The 24,631-nt window shown below is 49.9% G+C and overlaps 1 protein-coding gene and 1 long non-coding RNA gene across 12 annotated transcripts in view, besides 4 other annotated features; one reads left to right on the top strand and one right to left on the bottom strand.

Annotated features, from left to right (window-relative positions):
- The window catches only part of NARF (nuclear prelamin A recognition factor), a 32,340-nt gene extending 12,966 nt beyond the window's left edge, over positions 1-19,374 (bottom strand). For 2 of the 8 annotated variants that reach the window (XR_007065290.1, NM_012336.4), the window contains exons 1-5: positions 18,742-18,831; positions 17,500-17,580; positions 13,142-13,285; positions 8,676-8,808; positions 4,874-5,008 (exon numbers count right to left, since the gene is read on the bottom strand). Coding sequence is in view for 7 of the 8 variants with exons in the window: in NM_012336.4 (NP_036468.1) it covers positions 4,874-5,008; positions 8,676-8,808; positions 13,142-13,285; positions 17,500-17,580; positions 18,742-18,768 (520 nt within the window). In the remaining variant the exon portion in view is untranslated. 8 annotated transcript variants of the gene reach the window in all.
- Positions 18,077-18,909: an enhancer, noted in NCBI's record as "NANOG-H3K27ac-H3K4me1 hESC enhancer chr17:80416539-80417371 (GRCh37/hg19 assembly coordinates)". NCBI's record gives its function as "activates a minimal SCP1, AML or CMV promoter by ChIP-STARR-seq in naive H9 embryonic stem cells {active_cell/tissue: H9 hESC(naive)}" and the evidence as "EXISTENCE:reporter gene assay evidence [ECO:0000049][PMID:30033119]".
- Positions 18,077-19,312: a biological region, named in NCBI's record as "NANOG-H3K27ac-H3K4me1 hESC enhancer GRCh37_chr17:80416539-80417371".
- Positions 18,493-19,312: a silencer, noted in NCBI's record as "silent region_9214". NCBI's record gives its function as "represses an Ori minimal core promoter by ATAC-STARR-seq in GM12878 lymphoblastoid cells {active_cell/tissue: GM12878}" and the evidence as "EXISTENCE:reporter gene assay evidence [ECO:0000049][PMID:35858748]".
- NARF-AS2 (NARF antisense RNA 2) lies at positions 19,053-24,386 on the top strand. Of its 4 annotated transcripts, none has more exons than NR_184098.1 (3): positions 19,053-19,155; positions 20,024-20,134; positions 23,159-24,386. It is a non-coding gene; the product is annotated as an NARF antisense RNA 2 (long non-coding RNA). The 4 variants fall into 4 exon arrangements; NR_184099.1 differs by having other exon boundaries at positions 19,053-19,899; NR_184101.1 differs by lacking the exon at positions 23,159-24,386 and having other exon boundaries at positions 20,024-20,348.
- Positions 19,343-19,492: an enhancer, noted in NCBI's record as "active region_13010". NCBI's record gives its function as "activates an Ori minimal core promoter by ATAC-STARR-seq in GM12878 lymphoblastoid cells {active_cell/tissue: GM12878}" and the evidence as "EXISTENCE:reporter gene assay evidence [ECO:0000049][PMID:35858748]".
- Positions 24,387-24,631: the final 245 nt, after the last annotated feature.

Here is a 24,631-nt window from a genome sequence, read left to right as displayed (position 1 = left end):
ACTGCTCTCCAAGCTTGGATGACAGAGCAAGACTCTGTGTTGTTTTTTTGGTTGTTTTTGTTTTTTTTTTGAGACAGTCTTGCTCTGTCACCCAGGCTGGAGTGCAGTCACACGATCTTGGCTCACTGTAACCTCTGGCTCCCGGGTTCAAGCGATTCTTCTGCCTCAGCCTCCCAAGCAGCTGGGACTACAAGTGTGCGCCACCGTGTGTGGCCAATTTTTGTATTTTTAGTAGAGACAGGGTTTCACCATGTTGGTCAGGCTGGTCTCGAACTCTTGACCTCAGGAGATCCTCCCGCCTCGGCCTCCCAAAATGCTGGGATTACAGGCGTGAGCCACCCTGCCTGGCCTGACTCTGTCTTAAAAAAAATAAATAAATATAAAAATTAGCTGGTGGCGCACGCCTGTGGTCCCAGCTACTTGGAAGGCTAAGATGGGAGGATCACTTGAGCCCAAGAGGTTGAAGCTCTCGTGAGCCATGATTGAGCTGCCGCACTCCAGCGTGGGCAACAAAGTAAGATCCTGCTTAAAAAACTGTTGGCTGGGTGGAGTGGCTCACACCTCTAATCCCAGCACACTTTGGGAGGCCGAGGCGGGTGGATCACCTGAGGTCGGGAGTTCTATTCCAGCCTGGCCAACATGGTGAAACCCTGTCTCTACTGAAAATATAAAAATTAGCTGGGCGTGGTGGCAGGCGCCTCTAATCCCAGCTACTTGGGAGGCTGAGGCAGGAGAATGGCTTGAACCTGGGAGGTGGGGGTTGCAGTGAGCTGAGATCTCGCTATTGCACTCTAGCCTGAGCAACAAGAGCGAAACTCCGTCTCAAAAACGCCAGGTGTGGTGGCTCATGCCTGTAATCCCAGCACTTTGGGAGTCCAAGGAAGGCAGATCATCGAGGTCAGGAGATCAAGGCCAGCCTGACCAACAAAGTGAAACCGTGTCTCTATTACAAATACAAAAATTAGCCAGGCGTGGTGGTGCATGCCTCTAATCCTAGCTACTCAGGAGGCTGAGGCAGCAGAATCGCTTGAACCCAGGAGGCAGAGGAGCCGAGATCACGCCACTGCACTCCAGCCTGGGCAACAGAGCGAGACTCCATCTCAAAACAAACAAACAAACAAAAAAGTGTTAGCTGGGCACAGTGGCTCACTGCTGTAATCCCAGCACTTTGGGAGGCCGAGGCAGGCGGATCACCTGAGGTCAGGAGTTTGAGACTGGCCTGGCCAACATGGTGCAACCCCGTCTCTACTAAAAATACAAAAATTAGCCGGGCATGGTGGCAAGTGCCTGTAATCCCAGCACTTTGGGAGACTGAGGCGGGCGATCACCTGAGGTCAGGAGTTTGAGACCAGCCTGACCAAAATGGTAAAACCCTGTCTCTACTACAGATACAAAAATTAGCTGGGCATGGTGGCATGCACCTGCAATCCCAACTTCTCAGGAGGCTGAGTTGGGAGAATCACTTGAACCTGGGGGATGGAGGTTGCAGTGGGCCAAGATCACACCAATGCACTCCAGCCTGGGTGACAGAGCGAGACTCTGTCTCAATAAATAAATAAATAAAATAAAAAATAAAAAAAAGTCTTGACCAGGATGGAGCTTATGTTGAGAAATAAAGTTTATACTTTTTATCTTTTAATTCTGTTCTTCCACAAACTTTTTGCAGTCTCCTTACATTTGTTGATTTCCTTATGAGAGGTCCTACTGGGATGGAACCTTCTCAAGTCACTGAAGGAACTAACTCTGCTGATGTGAATCCTGAGCAGATTGCTGATTTGTATAGAAACGGTGATCCCTCCGCCTGTGGCAGTGAACACAATGCTAGGTAGGGGCCCTGAGAGGTCTCTTCTCAGTGACGGCATTTCTGAGAAATGTGTCACCAAATCCTTTCTCTTCTCCAGCCACTGGCTGCAGGCCAGCCCCTTGCTTCCTATTTTAGCTTGAGATTTGCTGTATGTATGTAGTATATATGTATGATTGACAGGGTTGCTCTGTTACCCAGGCTGGAGTGCGGTGGTGCAATCACGGCTCACTGCAGCCTCGACCTCCTGGGTTCCAGTGAAGCTCCCACCTCAGCCTCCCGAGTAGCAGGGACTACAGGTGCCCGCCACACCTGGCTAATTTTTTGTATTTTTAGTAGAGACGGGGTTTCACCGTGTTAGCCAGGATGGTCTCAATCTCCTGACCTTGTGATCCGCCCACCTCGGCCTCCCAAAGTGCTGGGATTACAGGCGTGAGCCACTGCGCCCGGCCTAAATTTTTTATAATTTAAAAACCACTGCTCCAGGGGCATGGGCCTTAGTTCGTTGTCATTTTACACGGCCTCTTCCTTGGTTGGGGGTGGAACTAAGCAAGTGTGACTGGTGTTGTGAAGCCATGTTGTGTGTGGTATCATGTAACAGGGTCCCAAAAGGAAAGCACTCCTGCAAGGGGACCACAGAGGCAGGCTCAGGCTCAGCACACAAACACCAGGTACTCCCAGGTTGCTGGAGTCCAGGCAGCCCCAGAAACCATCAGGTGTGGAAATTATCCCTTTACACCTGGAAACACACCCAAAATGCCACAAGAGCTGAATGTAACACCCACAATCTAGTAAAAGGCTGTATCTGGCGTCAAATGGCTTATACTTCGACCTCTGATACAAAAATCTGTGAATCACTTACAGTAAGGCAAACCATACAGCTGAAAGAAGTCACTAACATCCCTGTCCCCATCTGGAGCTGAGATCACAGCAGGCTGTGGGTTGCTGGTGAACGATACAGCTCAAATAACGAGCCAACCAATGCAGCCCATGGAACAGATGGTAAATTTCCTCTTTATATTTTATAAATGGCTAGAGAGTAAGTCCGTATTCTAAGCAACCACGATGTCAATGTTCCATCTTATTAATTCATAATCCTAATGACTAAAGGTTGACATGTAAAATGCCAGAAAAATTTGAAACCATTGTAGGGGGAGCATAAATTAAGAACTGAAACGTGAACCAAACCCTAAAAATTATACAGCCTACGACTAGCTTAGATAGAGCTCTCCTATGCTCCCACAGGCCTCATGTAGTAGAATAATTTTTAACTAGTGTTGTTTGCCAGGATAGCCATTCCTTCCTTATTCCCTTATGCATCATCGAAGATTTCTTAACCCAAACTCTCTATTTTTCCAGAATTGAAAAGCATGTGACAAATCTCTTCTATAACTCAGGCATCCAAAAACCAATTAAAGAGTGGTTTAAACAGTGCGCCCTGAGAGTATCTGAATATCAATGTAAAGAAATTTTCTTATTCTGTATTTTTTTTAAGCTGGCAAAAGATACATGCACGTTTGCCATATTATTCCATAATTATTTGTACATCTGAGATATGTTGTACTTTCAAGAGAAAACGGATTTTCTTAAGAGACAGGACCTCAGTCTTTCGCCCAGGCTGGAGTACAATGGAGGAGTCATAGCTCACTGCAGCCTCTAACTCCTTGGCTCAAACACCTCAGGCTAGGATTCGTAGTAGCTGTGATTACAGGTACTTGCCACCACCCCTGGCTTTTTTTTGTTTTTTTTTGCAGAGACGAGGTCTCACTATGTTGACGAGACTGGTCCCACACTCCTGGGCTAAAGCAATCCTCCCACATCAGCCTTCTAAATTGTTGGGATTATGGCTGTGAGCCACCATGCCTGGCCTATTTTTCTTTTCCTTTTAAAAAATATTTATTTAAAAAATTAGAGGACGGGTGTGGTGGCTCATGTCTGTAATCCCAGCACTTTGGGAGGCCAAGGCGGGCAGATCACTTGAGGTCAGGATTTCAAGACCAGCCTGGGCAACATGGCGAAACCCCATCTCTACTAAAAATACAAAAATTAGCCAGGCGTGGTGGCGCTAGCCTGTAATCCCAGCTACTGGGGAGGCTGAGGCATAAGAATCGCTTGAACCTGGCCAGGCACAGTGGCTCACGCCTGTAATCCCAGCATTTTGGGAGGCCGAGGCAGGCAGATCACGAGGTCAGGAGATCGAGACCATCCTGACTAACACGGTGAAACCCCGTCTCTACTAAAAATACAAAAAGAAATTAGCCGGGTGTGGTGGCAGGCGCCTGTAGTCCCAGCTACTCGGGAGGGTGAGGCAGGATGCACTCCAGTCTGGGTGACAGAGCGAGACTCTGTCTCAACAACAAAAAAAAAAGAATCGCTTGAACCTGGGAGGTGGAGGTTGCAATGAGCCGAGATCACACCACTGCACTCCAGCCTGGGCAACAGACTGAGATTCCGTCTCCAAAAAAAAAAAAAAAATAGAGACATGTTGCCCAGGCTGGTCTCAAACTCCTGGGCTCAAGAGATCTGCCTAGACTGGGCACAGTGGCTCACGCCTGTAATCCCAGCACTTTGGGAGCCCGAGGCAGGCAGATCACCTGAGATCAGGAGTTCAAGACCAGCCTGGCCAATATGGCAAAACCCCATCTCCACTAATAATACAATAATTAGTTGGGTGCAGTGGCGTGCACCTGTAGTCCCAGCTACTTGGCAGGCTAAGGCAGGAGAATCGCTTGAACCCGGGAGGTGGAGCTTGCAGTGAGCCGAGATCGTGCCACTGCACTCCAGCCTGAGTGACAGAGCGAGACTCTGTCTCAAAAAAAAAATAATAAAAATAAAATAAAATTAAATAAATAACCATACTGGCCTTTCCAGTGTGGCACCTCTGATGAAAAACTAAATTGGCTGTCCCAAAACATCAAACACCCTCTGTGAATCAGGCCAAGCTCTTCCCTCCTGGTCTACAAGGCTGGGTGGGATGGGTCTGTCTGCCTCCAACCTCATCTAGAGCCTGCAGAATCTTGTGAAACCTCTTTTGGCACCTCAGGCCAACAGAGCGGGGGTCCAGGGGCTCACCAGGACAGGCAGAGGTCAGCATGGGCAGGGTGCGTTCCTCCTCACTGTGCTGGCGATAGCGACGCACGAATTCTTTTTGACTCTCCAGGATACTAAAATCCGCAGCTATCGTCGTATCAAATACATAGTGCACCCCTGCAGGAGAGAGGAGCATATTCAGCTTAAATCACGTACTAAAAGATCTACTTTTAGGCTTCCTCTTTTTTTTTTTTTTTGAGACGGAGTCTCGTTCTGTCACCCAGGCTAGAGTGCAGTGGCATAATCTCGGCTCACTGCAACCTCCGCCTCCCAGGTTCAAGTGATCCTCCCACCTCAGTCTCCCGAGTAACTGGGATTACAGGTGCCCGCCATCATGCCTGGCCAATTTTTGTATTTTTTAGTAGAGATGAGGTTTCACCATGTTGGCCAGGCTGGTCTTGAATTCCTAGCCTCAAGTGATCTACCCACCTTGGCCTCCCAGAGTGCTGGAATTACAGGCGTGAACCACTGCATCCAGCCAATACTTCTTCATTCTTACTCATTTTTGCTTTCTCACGTTTAAGAGACAAACTTAAAGCATAGATTCTACAGGCATCCCTCCTAAGATAATAAAATCAGTCTTGGTTCTTATCTATTCCTAACGGCCTAAGTTCAAGACCGTGTGCTTTACCTTTTATTTTGTAAACAATGAGCGTGTATGATTTTTCACAATGAAATATGTATGTTCTCTCTCATGCTTCTTCCCTCTCTACATTTTAAAACACCTTACTCCATATATAAATTAATGAAATATTACAACGTACCCACAGCATTCCCTTCCAATTCACAGGCAAATTAAATTTCAGTCTGTGATGGTTCTTGATGTGTTTAAAAGTAGAACGTACAGTAAAAGTATAGAATGGCTGGGCATACTTTTTTTTTTTTTTTTGAGACGGAGTCTCACTCTTTCGCGCAAGCTGGACTGCAGTGGCGCTATCCCGGCTCACTGCAAGCTCCGCCTCTTGGGTTCATGCCATTCTCCTGCCTCAGCCTCCCGAGTAGCTGGGACTACAGGCGCCCACCACCACGCCCGGCTAATTTTTTGTATTTTTAGTAGAGATGGGGTTTCACCGTGTTAGCCAGGATGGTCTCGATCTCCTGACCTCGTGATCCGCCCGCCTCGGCCTCCCAAAGTGCTGGGATTACAGGCGTGAGCCACCGCGCCCGGCAAGGGCATACTTTTATAATGGCTTAAATTTTTATACTGAATTTTTTTTTTTTTTTTTGAGACAGTGTCTCGCCCTGTTGCCCAGGCTGGAGTGCAGTGGCGTGATCTCGGCTCACTGCAAGCTCCGCCTCCCAGGTTCACACCATTCTCCTGCTTCGGCCTCCCAAGTAGCTGGGACTACAGGCGCCCGTCACCACGCCCGGCTACTTTTTTGAATTTTTAGTAGAGACAGAGTTTCACTGCGTTAGCCAGGATGGTCTCAATCTCCTGACCTCGTGATCCGCCCACCTCGGCCTCCCAAAGTGCTGGGATTACAGGCGTGAGCCAACATGCCCAGCCTTTTTTTTTTTTCAGACAGTCATGCTCTGTCACCCAGGCTGGAGTGTGGTGACGCAATCTCAACTCACCGCAAACCTCTGCTTCCTGGGTCTGAGCGATTCTTGTGCCTCAGCCTCCCGAGTAGCTGGGATTACAGGTGTCTGCCACCATGCCAGGCTAATTTTTGTATTTTTAGTGGAGATGGGGTTTTGCCATGTTGGGCCAGGCTGGTCTCAAACTCCTGACCTCAGGTGATCTGCCCCCTCGGCCTCCCAAAGTGCTGGGATTACAGACATGAGCCACCACACCCGGCCTGATTTTTTTAATTTTAAATTTTTTGTTTCTCCCCCTCCCCAGGTAACAAAGCTGAGAGAAAATGCAACTAGCTATAATAAATATTAGGCTGGGCACGGTGGCTCACCCCTGGAATCCCAGTACTTTGGGAGTCCAAGGCGGTTAGATCATGAGGTCAGGAGATCGAGACCATCCTGGCTAACATGGTGAAACCCCATCTTTACTAAAAATACAAAAAATTAGCCGGGCGTGGTGGCGGGCGCCTGTAGTCCCAGCCACTCGGGAGGCTGAGGCAGGAGAATGGTGTGAACCCGGGAGGTGGAGCTTGCAGTGAGCCGAGATGGCGCCACTGCACCCCAGCCTGGGTGACAGATCAAGACTCCGTCTCAAGAACAACAAAAAAAGAAATATTATAAATTTTAAAATATTACATTAAGAAATCCATTTTACTGTGGATACATTTTATTGATATATAACATTCCGTTACATCATTTTAAGAATCTAGCCCCAAATAAGGGCTTTCATCGTGAGAATATATAGCATTTGACAACTCTGATCTTCAGTGTAACTAACCTAACCCGAGGCTTTATGATGACAAGCATGAAGGAGCGACCTAACGTGTGGGCACCTGTCGCTGTAGCTGGGTTTCAGCTGCAGCACATTATGTGCTAGATGACCAGGTCTTGTTAGAGCCCAGGCGCCTAGGGCACAGGGAGCATCAGGACCCCCAGGCTGCTGCTTAGACTTCAAGCCTGTCCTGATGATCCTTATTCCAAATATCATTTTATTTCACCAGTAATCCCCAATATATCTACATTTATGTACTTATTTAGCAGAGATAGGATCTTGTTATGTTGTCGAGGCTGGTCTCGAGCTCCTGGCCTCAAGTAATCTTCTGGTCTTGGCCTTCCAAAGTGCTGGGATTACAGGCATGAGCCACCAAACCTGACCAATATTTATAATTTTTAAAAGCCGCTGTAGAATAATAAAAACTCTTGGCCAGGCACGGTGGCACATGCCTGTAATCCCAGCACTTTGGGAGGCCAAGGCGGGTGGATCACGAGGTCAAGAGATTAAGACCATCCTGGCCAACATGGTGAAACATCATCTCTACTAAAAATACAAAAATTAGCCGGGAGTGGTGGCGCGCACCTGTAGTCCCAGCTACTTGGGAGGCTGAGGCAGGAGAATCTCTTGAACCCGGGAGGCGGAGGTTGCAGTGAGCCAAGATCGCATCATTGCACTCCAGCCTGGGGCACCAAGAGCGAGACTCCAGCTCAAAAAACAAACAAACAAACAAACAAACAACAAAAAAAACCTCTTATTTGGCAACTCGCTCATTTTCCCTTTCTGAACTTGCACACTGACCATCATGCTATGAGGATGCTCAAGGCTGTAAAAGCCCCTCTATAAGCAAATGGAGGGAGGCAGTTCCCCTTTGACCAAAGCAGAAGACGCAGAAGCATCATCCATCAACATTTCAGGTAGTACTATTCCAGCGTTGACATCCGAGTTCTTTTATTATATTCTTAAATTTCTACCTTTCATTCCTCAAGTAAAGAACACAAGCCCATTCCCTTTCTGCTCTGCTCTTCAGAGAGCTTCTTGGGAAACCAGATACTAATCATTTCAGAAGTGACTGTTTATCAAATGCACACCCTCTGGGGGTAAGGGGTGACTTGGAGGTTGCTGGGCCAGTGTGGGAATCTCCCAGTGTCCTGTCCGTGTTGTCAGAAGGTGGTCACTGTTTGGTCCCAGAGGGGTCAGCTCCCACTGTGTAACAAAACACCTGTCTGTGCACAGCAAAGGAGAAAAGTGACACTCGTCTACCATCGATCAGAGGCTGGGTTTCATGACACACGGGACATGGTCTTTTTACGTTCCAAGAGACTCTTTTGGAAGTTGCTTATCTACCCTGCGTCCTTGAAAAACGAACTTTAGAGATTAAAAAGGGCGCTTATAAACTCAAGTTATACATTCCCAATTTATCAAAAGATGACTCACCAAGACTTTTGAGGAAACCACAGAGTCTTCTGGATGCATCAGTTACACTGAGGTTGAATTTAGCAGCAAAATAAGGCAAAGATTGAGGACACACAGACACTACCAGCACTTTGTGCTTTGAGGTATCACATTTCTAGAAGGAGAAATAGAGAATGTTAGGTATCTGCTGATTACACAAGGAGTAAAAGTTACACACCTTAATGAGAAATTCAGAACAACGTTAATAGATGGTCTATGCAAAGACTAATAAAATAGACAAACACTGGCAAACATAATTAAGAAAAAGGAGAAAAAAAATCAGGATTATGGTGAGGTTTGGGCTTCTGGTAAATATTTTTTTAAAAGTCAGGATTTAAAAAATGAAACATGAGCTGGCTTCAGTGGTGCATGCCTACAGTTCCAGCTACACAGGAGGCTGAAACAGGAGGATCACTTGAGGCCAGGAGTTTGAGACTGCAGAGCGCTATAATCACACTTAGGAACAGCCATAGCCACTGCGCTCTAGCCTGAGTGACAGAGTAATACTCTGTCTCAAAAAAAAAAGAGTTTCACCCTTGTTGCCCAGGCTACAGTAAAAAAAAAAAAAAAACAGAGTTTCACCCTTGTTGCCCAGGCTACAGTACAGTGGCGCGATCTCAGCTCGCTGCAACTTCTGCCTCCCAGGTTCAAGTGGTTCTCCTGCCTCAGCCTCCCAAGTAGCTGGGATTATAGGGACCTGCCACTACACCCAGCTAATTTTTTGTCTTTTTGGTAGAGACGGGGTTTTGCCATATTGGGCAGCCTGGTCTCAAACTCCTGACCTTGTGATCCACCTGCCTCGGCCTCCCAAAGTGCTGGGATTACAGGTGTGAGCCACCTAGCCTGGCCAATACTCTGTCTTAAAAGAGACAAGACTACAGATCTAAAAGACTTTGTCAATTTCAAGAACAATGTTATATCAGTAAATGTGAATATCTGGAAAAAATAAATAATTTTAAAGGGAAAATACAAATTACAACATTGGCCAATGAATAAGTGAAATTACTACACAACAATAAAAAAAACAGACACACTAAAATGGTATCCAGAGATGCCTCTTAAAAGTCATCAGCCCGGCTGGGCATGGTGGCTCATACCTGTAATCCCAGAACTGTGGGAGGCTGAGGCAGGCGGATCATTTGAGGTCAGGAGTTCAAGATCAGCCTGGCCAACATGGCGAAACCCATCTCTACTAAAAATACAAAAATTAGCTGGGTGTGGTGGCATGTGCCTGTAATCCCAGCTACTCGGGAGGCTGAGGCAGAAGAATCGCTTGAACCCGGGAGGTGGAGGTTGAAGTGAAATGGAGGTTGCAGTGAGCTGAGATTGCTCCACTGCACTCCAGCCTGGGCGACAGAGTGAGACTCCATCTCCAAAAATAAAAAATAAAAAAATAAAAAAAAAGTTACCAGGCCTAAGATGTTTTGTGAGTAAGCCTCATCTACAAACTGTTCTAAAAAAATACTGCATAAACTAGCATAAACTAGATGTTGGCAGCGCAATAGAAGACAGGTTCAGATATAAGAGTCAAGGGCCAGGCGTGGTGGCTCATGCCTATAATCCCAGCACTTTGGGAGGCCGGGGCTGGTGGATAGCCTGAGGTCAGGAGCTCGAGACCAGCCTGGCCAAAAGGGAGAAACCCCATCTCTACTAAAAATACAAAAGCTAGCCAGACATGGTGGTGTGCACCTGTAATCCCAGATACTCAGGGGGCTGAGGCAGGAAAACTGCTTGAACCCAGGAGGTGGAGGTCGCAGTTAGCCAAGATCGTGCCACTGCACTCAAGCCTGGGCGACAGAGTGAGACTCCATCTCAAAAAAGGGTCAAGAAATAGACACGCAGTACAAGGGTGGGGTGGAAGTAATGGGGAAAAAAAAAAAAAAGAAGGCCAGGTACGGTGGCTTATGCCCGTAATCCCAGCACTTTGGGAGGCCAAGGCAGGTGGATCACTTGAAGCCAGGAATTCAAGACCAGCCTGGCCAACATGGTGAAGGCCGAAAAAAAAGAAACAAATGGATGCACATCTATCAATATATAAGAGAGGTAGGATAATATTTCAGGTCAACAGGGGAAGAACAGAAGATGCTGGAACAATTTGATTTTTTCAAATAGAAAAGAATGTATCTGGCCGGGTGTGGTGGCTCACGTCTGTAATCCCAGCACTTTGGGAGGCCGAGGCGAGCACATCACTTGAGGTCAGGAGTTCGAGACCAGCCTGGCCAACATGATGAAACCCCATCTCTACTAAAAATGCAAAAATTAGCTGGGCATGGTGGTGCCTGCCTGTAACTCTAGCTACTTGAGAGGCTGAGGTAGGAGAATTGCTTGAACCCAGGAAGGAGAGGTTGCAATAAGCTGAGATCACGACACTGCACCCCAGCCTGAGAGACAGTGAGAGACTCCATCTCAGAAAAGAAAAAAAAGGAAGAAGAATGTATTCACATCGCACACCGTACTAAAATATAAGTTGTAGACTGGACAAGCAGCATAAGATAAAATATAAACTGTCAATAAACATCATCTAGGGTAACCAACTTCTCTAAATAAGCAAGAAAATGCAAATGAGATACAATTCTCTATGTATCAGGGGGGAAAAAACTGAATTTGATATTGAATGTGACCAGGATGGCTGCACACAGCTGTTTGCCCCTATCACTTAGGGAAGCATAAAGTGACACAGACACTTTCAAGGGTTTTTGCAAAAACCGTTGACACCACAGAATTAAGTCTCTAGTAGTCTGCAAAGCTGTATCCACTAAGTCTGTTCAACGTAACAAAATGGCTGAAGCCATTCTGTTCCCTGAAAGGCCAAGGGTGAGCAGGTGGGGACGGGTATGCATGGCGAACCTGGCTGATGGGTGGGGGGCATCTCCTGGTTCAGACCATCCTATCCAGGCAGCCTGCTGCTTGCTAACGGAGTTCCCGTGCAAGTGCATATAAGTCAGGGTACACCCAGACACAACTAATGCTGGCAACACAGAGGACATGTGTCTCTATCTGCAATTGTGATCTAGGTCATGGGTGGTGGCTGATGCCTATAATCCTAACACTTTGGGAGGCTGAGGCTGGAGGATCGCTTGAGCACAGGAGTTCAGGACCAGCCTGGGCAACATGGCAAAACCCTGTCTCTACAAACAATACAAAAATTAGGCAGGTGTGGTAGCACGCGTCTGTAGTCCCAGCTGCTCTGGAGGCTACAGGGAGCCTCCAGAGGTGGGAGGATCACCAGAGTCTCCCCACTGAGACTCTCTCCACTGCACTCCAGCCTGGGTGAGGCCCTGTCTCACAAAGAAAAATATTGTGATCTAATTGCTGCTGGATGACTTGTCCAGAAGCCATGGGGGTGAATGGCAAACGCTGAGAAGGCTCCTTGGCTGTCCCCTATGCCACCCACTTGTGCCAGTCAGTGTTTCTTGAGGCCCCTACCTTGCTCTAGCACACTACCTACTGTGAATGGGCTCCTACACCCTGGGCAGGGTAGGATGCCGGTGCTTCCCGTGGAGGTGACAGCATGGAAACCAAGAAGTGCTTTTCAGCCTCATCTGCCTTTGTCTCTTTCTCTTTCACCTGTGATATGGTTTGGCTCTGCGTCCCCACCCAAATCTCATGTGAAACTGAAGGCTGGGCCTGGCAGGAGGTGACTGGGTCATGGGGGCGGATCTCCCACTTGCTCTTCTCATGATAGTGAGTGAGTCCTCACAAGATCTGGTTGTTTACAAGGGTGCAGCACCTCCCCCTTTACTTGCTCTCTCCTGCTGCCACGTGAAGACATGCTTGCTTCCCCTTCACCCTTCCGCCATGGTTGTTCCCTGAGGCCTCCCCAGCCATGTCTCCTGTAGATCCTGTGGAACTGTGAGTCAATTAAACCTCTCTGCTTTATAAATTAGCCAGTGTCACGTAGTTCTTTGTAGCAATGTGAGAATGGACTAATACAACCTGTCTCACGGAAAGACAAGTGGCACCTCTCGTTCTGTATAGGAGGTCTGCAGGGATGAGCTGAAGGAAGGAGCTTTGGGAATTTTTACTTCCTTGGAGTGTCTCTGCCTTGCCCCAAGCTGATCGGTCTATTAGAACATAACTCTCGTGTCCGAAAACGTGCAGCCGAGGCAGAACAGCAGGAGCTCCGGCTCTGTGCTGCCCGCATGATCACCAACACCCGTGTTACCTGACCTCACCAGGCAGAGGCCCCGCTTAAGCCACAGGAGCCTGAGGGGTGATGCCAGCCCCCCACCACTGCCTGAGCATTATTAAGGGAGCAGGAAATTGTGCGGGGATTTTGCTCTTGATGGAGAGGTTTGGAAGGTCAAAGCAGGATGTTAGCAACACCAGGAAAAGGCTGAGATGTGCATCCGATGTCCCAGCAGAGGCTTCTGTGCAGGAAGCCAGGCCTCACCTCCACTTCCTCCAGGTCAGCTCCCCAGCATCAGCAAATGCCCCGAATGCCTTACCTTGTTAAGGTTCAGAACGCGGAAGAAGTCCTTGGCATTTTGCTGGGAAAGTTGGACTCCTTCCTCTGCAGTCATACAGCTGTCACATGCCAGGCAGTCGCTCAAAAATATCTTGGCATCAGCCAACTTGTGGAATTCTCCCTTCTATGAAAGATGACGTTTCAGCATGATTATTCAACAAATACTCTTTAATGTGCTTCTTTAGAGAGGGTAACACCCATATACAGAATTCACAGTAAACATTGGAGATAATACCAGGGTCCAGGCCTGGTGCTCAAGGGGCTGGAAGCAGGACAGTCTCTGCCACTGAGCAGCTCAAGGTGGTGAAGGGACACAGGACACAGGGCCCAGCCCACAATGACACTAGGGAACCATGCAGATGACAAGGGTGGAACCCAGCCCTAGCACTGTCACGTGGTAGGAAGTAAATGACCCCTGTGTTCTGGAAGCTCACCCCACTGCTAGACCCCTTCCTCCTAGACCCCTTCCTCTTTGGTGCCTGTGATCCAGCCCTCTGACTGCTCCTCTAGCTCTGTGCCCCCTCTTACCATCCCACGGCTCCCTGAGGCCACCCACAGCCCTGGCCTCTCCCTTGAGGCTCAGAACTTTACAACTCAGTGCTGGCTCTGGGTTTGCACTCGGACATGTAACAAGATGCTTATCCTGACCTGGATGTAGAGTCACTCTTTGATCCCCTCCACCCTCTCCTTCCTGACTGGCCCTTGTGCTCCCCGACATCTGCTAAAACATAAACCACACCTCTGCTCTGCTCAGACAGCTGCCCCTCACACAGAGGGCCTGGGCAAAGCCAGTGGCCCCTGTCTGCCCGGGTCCCATCACAGCCCCCTTGGTCTCCACACGTCCAGCCCCACTGGCCCTTGCTGCTCTCGCCATCCTTCTGCATGAAGCAACCTCTAAGAGCCCCAGGCTCACCCTGGGTGGCCTTCAGCAGAGACGATGTCCAACACCTGCTAAAACAGCACCACCCCCTCACCCGTCTCTTCCCTCCCCACCCATCTGTACTTATGTTGCTGACTGCTAGCAGGAGTCTGTCCCTCCTCGCTAAAATGTAAGCTCATGAGAGCTTGAACACTGTCTTGTTCTCTTGTTCCTCAGCACTTCCAAGAGGTACTGCACACAGACAGTGCTCAATAAATAACTGGTGGATGAACATATGAATACTCTGAAGCTTACAGGAGTAATGTCAATAAATTACAGAAGCTCCTCAGGTAGTCCATGCATTCGTTTTTCTTTAAAACTTGATTTGACAGGAGACGGCTATGGATGTGCCTCCTCCTTCCACAGCGTGCTACGAACCGCAGCTCGGGTGTCACCTCTGCCTCCTGCCTACACATGACCCCATGTCTCTGTGCAGCCCACTCAACCTGGGATCTTGTTCTGCTGCAGATGGGCACTCAGGAGGTCCGCATGGGGCTCAAGAGTTTGTGCTTCTAACAAGTTCCCAGTGGGTCAAAGCCACAGCTCCACTCCAAACATCTGGTGCCCATAGCTGCATGAATTGTGCCTCCACAGCCCATCCCCACTGAGATGCCCATGACCAAACTGCCCCCCTCACCCAGCAGTGCCTCCTCCCTGCCTTGCCACCAGACATGCTGTGTATAACCCAGTCCTTCCATAAGTTTTCATGGTCCAGGTCTGATTCCCTCCTCACCCCTCACATTCTTTCTTCTTATTCCTCCTGCCTTCCACACTGATGCATTCTACAGAAGTCCTGTTCCCTTTTATCAGGCCTGCTGGCCTCACTCAGCCCAGGGCAGCCCTGCCACCTGCACTTCCAGCGGAGTGCTCTCACCAAACCCCAGACTCACACACCGTAGAAGGCCCAGTGTCTGTGGAGCTAAAACTGCACTCCCTTCCCTGCACTACGTCCTCTGTTCTGTCTCTATCACTCTGGTAGACTTGCCCAGGCCCACCACCTCTGCCTAGGCTCTCAAAGCTGCCACCCAAGTGGCTTCCTGCAATTCTTCCCCTACTCTAGCCAGCTTAAGTCGGTTACCTCCATCACCTGCCCTAAAACAAACACCTGAGTCACCCCCTCACGGTCTCCACAGCTCTGCACTGTCATTGACCTGGCCAAGGGGAGCCACTGTCTCTCCCTAGAGCACGTCTGTCCACACCCTCCTCTTGCCTGGTGTGCCAGTGCCCTTCCCTACACTCCCACCCTGAATTCTGACCACTCTTCAGGGTCCACTCCATTAACCCCAACCCAACTCCTCTCACCCTGTGTCCATCACTGACCTGGCAGGGCGCCCACTTAGGCTGTGTACACACGTTATCTCATCCTCACCACAGTCCTGGGAGGGAGGTAACCCTACTCCCCAGGCCTCTGATAAGGAAACGAGGCTCACAGGGCTTAGATATCTGTCTACAACGACACAACCAGAGGGCAGGTGAGGGAGGCCCCTGGGGTCGGCCACTCAGGCGCACTGGCCCCAGCTGCCTCCAGGGCTCCAATGCACCCTACCTCTCTTCTGCCTGTGGCCAGCTCTTTGGCTGCTTGTCTCAGGCCCTGTTGCTCCCTAAGCCCCACAGTCCCCACAGCACTGGCACACAGGGCAACCGGGAGAACACCTGTCAGATTAAACATGTCAGGACTACTAAACTTAAGGAAAAAATATGCTTCTGCCATATTGCCAACTCTCCATTTATAAACTGGTACTAGTACTTTCTAAGGGTAGACTGACCTTAACCTCTCCCAACACCCTTCACTCAGTAAAACAGGGATAATGGCCAGGCTTACATGTAATGTTCCTTCTGGGCGTGAAATGAGACTGCATGTAAAATGACATTCTTTTTTTTGAGACGGAGTCTCACTCTGTCGCCCCAGCTGGAGTGCAGTGGCGTGATCTCGGCTCACCTCAACCTCCGCCTCCCGGGTTCAAGCAATTCTCCTGCCTCAGGCTCCTGAGTAGCTGGGATTACAGGCATGCACCACCACGCCCAGCTAATTTTGTATTTTTAGTAGAGATGGGGTTTATCTATGTTGGTCAGGCTGATCTTGAACTCCTGACCTCAGGTAATCCACCCACCTCGGCCTCCCAAAGTGTTGGGATTACAGGTGTGAGCCACCATGCCTGGCTGTAAAATCACATTCTTGAGAGCCAGGCTCAGGTTATGTATCCAATAAACAGAGACCATAGCTACTAGCTAAGGAGAATTTAAAAACAAGAACTGAATTAGAAGAGAGGCCAGGTGCAGTGGCTCACGCCTGTAATCCCAGCACTTTGGGAGGCTGAGGCAGGAGGATCACTTGAGCCCAGGAGGTCAAGACCAATCTGGGCAACATAGTGGAACTCCATTTCTACCAAAAAATAAAAATAAAAATAAATTAGCTGAGCATGGTGGTGCATACCTGTAGTCCCAGCTACTAGGGAGGCTGAGGCAGGAGAATCACTTGAGCCTCAGAGGTCAAGGCTGCGGTGAGCCATACAGTGAGCCACTGCACTCCAGCCTGGGTGACAGTGAGACCCTGTCTCAAAAGGGGAAAAAAAAAATTAAAAGAAGAAATCCAGTATTACACCACGTTTTCTTTGTTCCCAATGCAGTGTGTTTTGGTGTAGTGTGTTCTGAGAAGACAGGCCTTGTGCCACTGATGGACTGTCTCACACATGTCTTTATTAGCCCCTTCAAGTTTATTTCAGTCTCGGAGACGGAGTCTTACTCTGTTGCCCAGGCTGGAGTGCAGTGGCGCGATCTTGCCTCACTGCAAGTTCCGCCTCCCAGGTTCACGCCTTTCTCCTGGCTCAGCCTCCCGAGTAGCTGGGACTACAGGCGCCCCCCACCACGCCCGGCTAATTTTTTGCATTTTTAGTAGAGATGAGGTTTCACTGTGTTAGCCAGGATAGTCTCAATCTCCTGATCTCATGATCCGCCTGCCTCGGCCTCCCAAAGTTCTGGGATTACAGGCATGAGCCACCACGCCTGGCCTATTTCAGTCTTTTTTTTGGGACAGAGTCTCACTCTGTTGCCCAGGCTGAAGTACAGTGGTACAATCTCAGCTCACTGCAACCTCTGTCTTCCAGGGTCAAGCAATTCTCCTGCCTCAGCCTCCTGAGTAGCTGGGATTACAGGCGTACACCACCATACCTGGATAATTTTTGTATTTTTAGCAGAGATAAGGTTTCACCATGTTGGCCAGGCTGGTCTCAAACTCCTGACCTCAAGTGATCCGTCCACCTCGGCCTCCCAAAGTGCTGGGATTCCAGGCGTGAGCCACCATGCCCGCGTACTTCAGTCTTCTTTAAAGCAGTGATGTGCACGGTGCTGTGAGCCCCCAAAGAGAAAAACAGCAGCAGTAGTTTACTCTGGGCTGATACAAAACTGAAAAATCTACTTGCCTCTCCATTTTCCTGGGCTGGACTCGGTGCATCGGCTGACACATTCTCTTGGTCATCAGTTTTTGTTTTCTTACTACATTCCTTAAAAAAGCAAAGGAACATTATCAATGAACTTTTACTTCGTCTCCCTTAAGAAAATGTGCACATTCTGACCAATGAAGCTCATGTATTTCTATCCTTTCTTTTAGTTTATTTATTTATTTTTTTAGACGGAGTCTCGCTCTCACCCAGGCTGGAGTGCAGGGGCGCAATCTCGGCTCACTGCAGCCTCCACCTCCCGGGTTCAAGCGATTCTCCTGCCTCGGCCTTCTGAGTAGCTGGGATTACAGGTGTGCGCCACCACACCCAGCTAATTTTATATTTTTAGTAGAGACTGGGTTTCGCCATGTTGGCCACGATGGTCTTGAACTGCTGACCTCAGGTGATCCACCCGCCTCGGCCTCCCCTCCCAAGGTGCTGGGATAACAGGCTTGAGCCACCGTGCCTGGCCTTCTATCCTTCTAACCCTTCTAGTGAAACAGGTACTGAAGGACACACACACATCTCTATTGTTTACAATAATAAAAAAGCAGAAGCAACTGTAGCCTTCACCCCACAGGCGAATTCCCCTGGACACAGGTGTACTTAGAATAGGACGCAGCCACCACCGGGGATGAACGACCCATGGAATGTTAGGAAGCCTCCTGCCACGGCGTCACGCGCAGAAGTGCCAGCCACAGAGCAGCATCCACAGGAGCCCATTCCGGCAATAACAGCTACAAAACCCCCCTGCGTGCGCTGCGCGGTTGTTGCCATGGCCTGGAGACAACCGCGGAAGGCGCCGGTCAGCAGCCGTCACCCGCTTCCGCCCCTGCACCGGCTGCTCGGTGACCCTCAGAGGGGCAGGTTCGAAAACGCCTAAAACCCTCTCGAAACGCTTCTGATCATTCCCGCCACGACCGCTGTTTACTCGGACTGTGGTGCGCGGCACGAGAGGCTCGGTCTCCGTGCGTTTCCGCGCTTCGCGGGCGTGGGAAAGATGGACAAGTTCAGGGAGAACCGCGAAGACCGAACCCGCCCTGCAGAGCGCAGCGGACCCCGCGCCGGCCGCCTCCACGCCGAGCGGGCCCAGGGTGCCGAGGCCGGGGGCGCCTTGAAGAGCCCTGAAGCGAGCGAGCGGCGGGCCCGGACCGCCAACCTCGGCCGCCCAGAGCCCCACAGGACAAGCACCAGGCGCGCGCCTCCCCGGCCCGCGGCGCTCACCTTGCGCGTGCAGTGCTCACACTTCATCTGGAGCGCGGCGGGCGGGAGGCCGGGCGCCTCAGCCTCAGGGAAGCACCGGGAGACTGGGACACCACTGCCCGCCGCCCGCGGCCCTTTGTTGTCCTCCCCCGACGCGGCCTCACCCCCAACGGCCGCGCTCGGCCAATGAGAGCACCGGGAGAGGACAAGCCGCACCCCTGGGCCAATAGGATTCCCCACCCTTACGGCTTTGCCTAGGCCAATGACAGTGTCGGGAAGGGGCGGGCCAGGCCCCAGAGCCAATCGGAGCGCGCGGGGCGGACCGCAGGCTCACTCCACGTACGGCGCCGGGGGGACCGGGTCCTTGCGCCGGTTTCCGCTTCTCGTGGGTCCTGCGGCGGCGGCGGCGGCCAAGCGGCGTTCACCAGGGAGTCGGTGAGCGCGCGGACTGTCCCGAGGCCAAGCTGGGGCCGTTCCAGGGTGCTCGGTCCGGTGGTCACGGGGCCTGGAGGCCCCTGGGCCCGCGGAGGCCGCGGCCGGGCTCTGTCAGCCAGCTCGGCGTTGGACACTCGCCTTACTCGCGGCTCCTAACGGGGCGGGCCGGGGGCACAGCCCTCGTCCGCCGCCATTGCCACTTGACGTCGTGTCACGTAGGCTCGGCGGAGTAGCAGCGCGCATGCGCGGCCTGCCTGTCAGTAACCACGTGATGGACCCGGAAGCCCGAGGGCAGATGCTAAATGATGGCCATTTGACATTTGCGTGTGTTCACTATGGATAGTTTTACCAAGTACATTGATTTGGGCCCTTACAGCTTACAAAGTAAAGATAACACTTACTCCTCCAAGAAATTGATTTCAGCTAAGCAAAACATTGATACAGGGCTATAATGGAAGTGTTGGACTCATAAACGTTTTATGAAATCAGTGTGTGTGTATTACAGAAATCAGAAATGAGAAGTAAGAACATGTCTGGGAGAGTGTGACATAAGAAAAATAACTTGTAGGCGTATTTAACAGACAGCAGCAGTTCTCAGGATTCCCCATGTTAGAGCCTTCCTTCCTGTCCTCTGAGAAATGAAAATGAAATCCAAAGACCCCCAACTGACTACACGAACCCCCTACTGGCTAAGGAGATCCCAGGGTTGCCTTGAAGGCAGTTCTCAGCCATGACAGATGGGAGGTGAGACACCTGTTATTAAGGCCAACCCTTGGCTAACTACCATTAGGTTTTCTTGGCTAAGAGCTTAACGGAAACCAGCGCTTTCGAAAGACTCCACCGCTGATAACAACTCTCTCATTTGCAGTTTCGGCCCAATTGACCAGTATTCCTTACTGATAAGAGACACTGACCATGGAGTGGTTCTGGTGAGATGACATGACCCTCGTGAAGGGGCCTGAAGCTTCATTGTGTTTGTGTATGTTTCTCTCTTCAAAAATATTCATGACTTCTCCTGTAGCTTGATAAATATGTATATTTACACACTGCACCTCATAGATTCCTGTTCCCTTTGCCCCTCCCTGGAAGTGTCTGTTTCTGGCTTCTGGCCAGAGGCAGTGCTTCCCTGTCTGTCAGAATGGCCACCCTGCAGGCTGAAACCCTTTATGAGAAGTAAAGCTCTCCTTTCCAGATTTATGAATCTCATCATTCTTCAGCTTGCCATTGCCCATCGGGTTCTTCCTGCCCACTGCACAGACAAAAAGTCAATTCATCAAGATTGCAGCAGGCCGGGAAAAGAGTTTAATTGACACCTGGCAGGCCACACAGGAGACAGTTACTACTCAAATCAGTCTCTCCAAAGGCTCAGCAGTTAGGAGTTTGTTTTTTGTTTTTTTGTTTTTGTTTTTGAGACGGAGTCTCACTCTGTCACCCAGGTTGGAGTGCAGTGGCACAATCTCGGCTCACTACAACCTCCACCTCCCAGGTTCAAGCGATTCTCCTACCTCAGCCTCCTAAGTAGCTGGGACGACAGGCACACGCCACCACGCCTGGCTAATTTTTGTATTTTTTAGTAGAGATGGGGTTTCACCATAATGGCCAGGCTGGTCTTGAACTCCTGACCTTGTGATCCGCCTGCCTCGGCCTCCCAAAGTGCTGGGATTACAGGCATGAGCCACCACGCCTGGCCGCAGTTAGGGTTTTTATGGACAATTTGGTGGGCAGGGGGCTAGGGAATGGATGCTGCTGATTGACTGGGAATGAAATCAAAAGGGTGTGTGGAAAACGGTCCTCAAGCACTGAGTCTGCCTCTGGGTGGGGCCACAGAAACCAATTGAGTCCTGAGTAGCAGGTTGGGGTGGGTTCACTCTGAAAAACATCTCAAAAAGCCATTCTTAGGTCCTGCAATACTGATATTATCTATAGGTGCAATTCGGGAAGTTGCAAATTTTGTGACCTCTGGCCACATGAGTCCTGAGCAGTGAGGGACTGTAGAAACTAGGCCTGCATTTTAGCAGAGTTCAGGCCACTCCCACAATCCTAACCTTGTGGCCTTTCATTAGCTTTACAAAGGCAATTTCAGCCCCAGAAGTGGGAGGTGATAGTTTTAGGAAGGGACTATTATCATCCTTGTTTCAAGGTTAAACTGTAAATTCCTCCCAAAGCTCCTAAAATTAGCTTGGCTTATGCCCAGGAACAACTGGACAGCTTGGATGTCCAAAGGAAGACGGAATTAACTGTGTGAAATTTCTCTGTCTTTTTTTTTTGAGACAGGGTCTCACTCTGTCACCCAGGCTGGAGTGCAGTGGCGTGATCACAGCTCACTGCAGCCTCAACCTCCTTGGATCAAGTAATCCTTCCACCTCAGCCCCGCGGGGTAGCTGGGACTACAGGCTCACACCACTGTGCATGGCTAAGTTTTAAATTTTTTGTAGATACAGGGTCTCCCCATGTTGCCCAGGCTGTTCTTGAATTCCTGGGCCCAAGTGATCCATCTCAGCCTCCCAAAGTGCTGGGATTACAGGTGTGAGCCACTGCACCCAGCCTCTATCACTGCCTTAATCTTTGCAAAGGCAGTTTCAAGTTGACACTTCAAAGTTGAGCTCAGGCATGGTGGCTCATGCCTGTAATCCCAGCACTTTGGGAGGCCGAGGCAGGCGGATCACTTGAGGTCAGGAGTTTGACACCAGCCTGGCCAACATGCTGAAACCCCATCTCTACTAAGAATACAAAAATTAGCCAGGCATGGTGGTGTGTGCCTGTAATCACAGCTACTTGGGAGGCTGAGGTAGGAGAATCGCTTGAACCTAGGAGGTGGAGGTTGCAGTGAGCCGAGATCGCACCACTGGACTCCAGCCTGGGCGACAGAGTGAGACTTCATCTCAAAAAAAAAAAAATTATTATTTATAGTTTTCATTTTGTATAGCTTTTTACAAATGCAACAATGAAATTCTGGAAGTCTTAACCCTCTAGATTACTCAAATTCAAGTCAGCATCTCTCAGAAAATATCTCCCCTCAACTTCAGTTTAAATAAAAGGATAATTTTAGGTTGTCATTTGTATAGCTTTTTTGTTAATGTTTTACAAACATAACTGGCCAGGTGTGGTGGCTCACGCCTGTAATCCCAGCACTTTGGGAGGCTGAGGTGGGTGGATCACCTGAGGTCAGGTGTTTGAGACCAGCCTGGTCAACATGGTGAAACCCCATCTCTACTAATAATAGAAAAATTTGCTGTGTGTGATAGTGGGTGCCTGTAATCACAGCTACTCAGGAGGCTGAGGCAGGAGAATCACTTGAACCTGGGAGGCAGAGGTTGCAGTGAGCCAGCACCATGCCATTGCACTCCAGCCTGGGCAACAAGAGCAAAACTCCATCTCTAAAATACAAAAAAAAAAAAATGAAATAAAAACATAAGTGTAATATGTTTGAAAGAACAAATTACGGCCGGGTGTATTGGCTCATGCGTGTAATCCCAGAACTTTGGGAGGCCAAGGTGGGAGGATTGCCTGAGCTCAGGAGTTCGCAACCGGCCTGGACAACATGGTGAAACCCCATCTCTAATAAAATACAAAAAATTAGCTGGGCATGGTGGCACGCACCTGTAGTCCCAGCTACTCAGGAGACTGAGGCAGGAGAATTGCTTGAACCTGGGAGGCAGAGGCTGCAGTGAGCCGAGATTGCATGACTGTAGCCTGGGCAACAGGGCGAGACTCCGTCTCAAAAAAAAAAAAAAAAAAGAACAAATTATAATCACTTAATTTTTTTTTTATCAAATAGCCAATGTCCAGTTTTCCCCATTGTCTCATATTTTTTTACAGTTTGTTTAAATCAGGATCTAAATAAGGTCTAGTATGTTTTAATAGTCTATATTACAATTGGTTCATATGTTTCTTAAGTCTCTTTTTCTATGAACTTACGGAAGACATTGAAAAGTCTCTCTTTAAAAATAAAAACTTGTTCTCCCTCTCCCTCTCCTCTCTTCTCTCTTCTCTCTTCCCACAGTCTCCCTCTGTTGCCGAGGCTGGACTGTACTGCCGTGATCTCGGCTTGCTGCAACCTCCCTGCCTCGGGCTCCCATGATTCTCCTGCCTCAGCCTGCCGAGTGCCTGGGATTGCAGGCATGCGCCACCACGCCTGACTGGTTTTTGTATTTTTGGTGGAGATGGGGTTTCGCTGTGTTGGCCGGGCTGGTCTCCAGCTCCTGACCTTGAGTGATCTGCCCGCCTCGGCCTCCCGAGGTGCTGGGATTGCAGACGGAGTCTCTCTCACTCAGTGCTGCCCAGGCTGGAGTGCAGTGGCGTGATCTCGGCTCGCTACAACCTCCACCTCCCAGCCGCCTGCCTTAGCCTCCCAAAGTGCTAAGATTACAGCCTCTGCCCAGCCGCCACCCTGTCTAGGAAGTGAGGAGTGTCTCTGCCCGGCCACCCATCGTCTGGGATGTGAGGAGCGCCTCTGCCTGGCTGCCCCGTCTGGGATGTGAGGAGCGCCTCTGCCCGGCCGCCACCCTGTCTGGGAAGTGAGGAGAGCCTCTGCCCGGCCGCCACCCTGTCTAGGAAGTGAGGAGAGCCTCTGCCCGGCTGCCACCCCGTCTTGGATGTGAGGAGCGCCTCTGCCCGGCCGCCCCGTCTGGGAGGTGAGGGGCGCCTCTGCCCGGCCACCCCATCTGGGAGCCTTTCTGCAGGTGTACCCAACAGCTCCGAGGAGACAGTGACCATCGAGAACGGGCCATGATGACGATGGCGGTTTTGTCGAAAAGGAAAGGGGGAAATGTGGGGAAAAGAAAGAGAGATCAGACTGTTACTGTGTCTGTGTAGAAAGAAGCAGACCAAGGAGACACCATTTTGTTCTGTACTAAGAAAAATTCTTCTGCCTTGGGATGCTGTTAATCTATGACCTTACCCCCAACCCCGTGCTCTCTGAAACCTGTGCTGTGTCAACTCAGGGTTAAATGGATTAAGGGCGGTGCAAGATGTGCTTTGTTAAACAGATGCTTGAAGGCAGCATGCTCGTTAAGAGTCATCACCACTCCCTAATCTCAAGTACCCAGGGACACAAACACTGTGGAAGTCCGCAGGGACCGCTGCGTAGGAAAACCAGAGACCTTTGTTCAAGTGTTTATCTGCTGACCTTCTCTCCACTATTGTCCTATGACCCTGCCACATCCCCCTCTCTGAGAAACACCCAGGAATGATTGATAAATACTAAAATAAATAAATAAATAAAATAAAAACTTGATTTTGACATAACTTGAGGCGTACTTAGAAGTGGCAGAGTTCAAGCTGGGCATGATGGCTCATGCCTGTAATCCCAGCACTTTGGGCAGCCAAGGCAGGTGGATCATCTGAAGTCAGGGGTTTGAGACCAGCCTGGCCAGCATGGCAAAAGCCTCTCTCTACTAAAAATAAAAAAATTAGGTGGACGTGGTGGTGTGTGCCTGTAGTCCCAGCTACTTGAGAGGCTGAGGCAGGAGAATTG

The sequence above is a fragment of the Homo sapiens genome, chromosome 17 (genome assembly GCF_000001405.40).
Source record: "Homo sapiens chromosome 17, GRCh38.p14 Primary Assembly".
Taxonomy (NCBI): Eukaryota; Metazoa; Chordata; class Mammalia; order Primates; family Hominidae; genus Homo; species Homo sapiens.
Note: the sequence above shows the minus strand (reverse complement) of the source record. Positions and strands in the feature narration are given on the sequence as shown.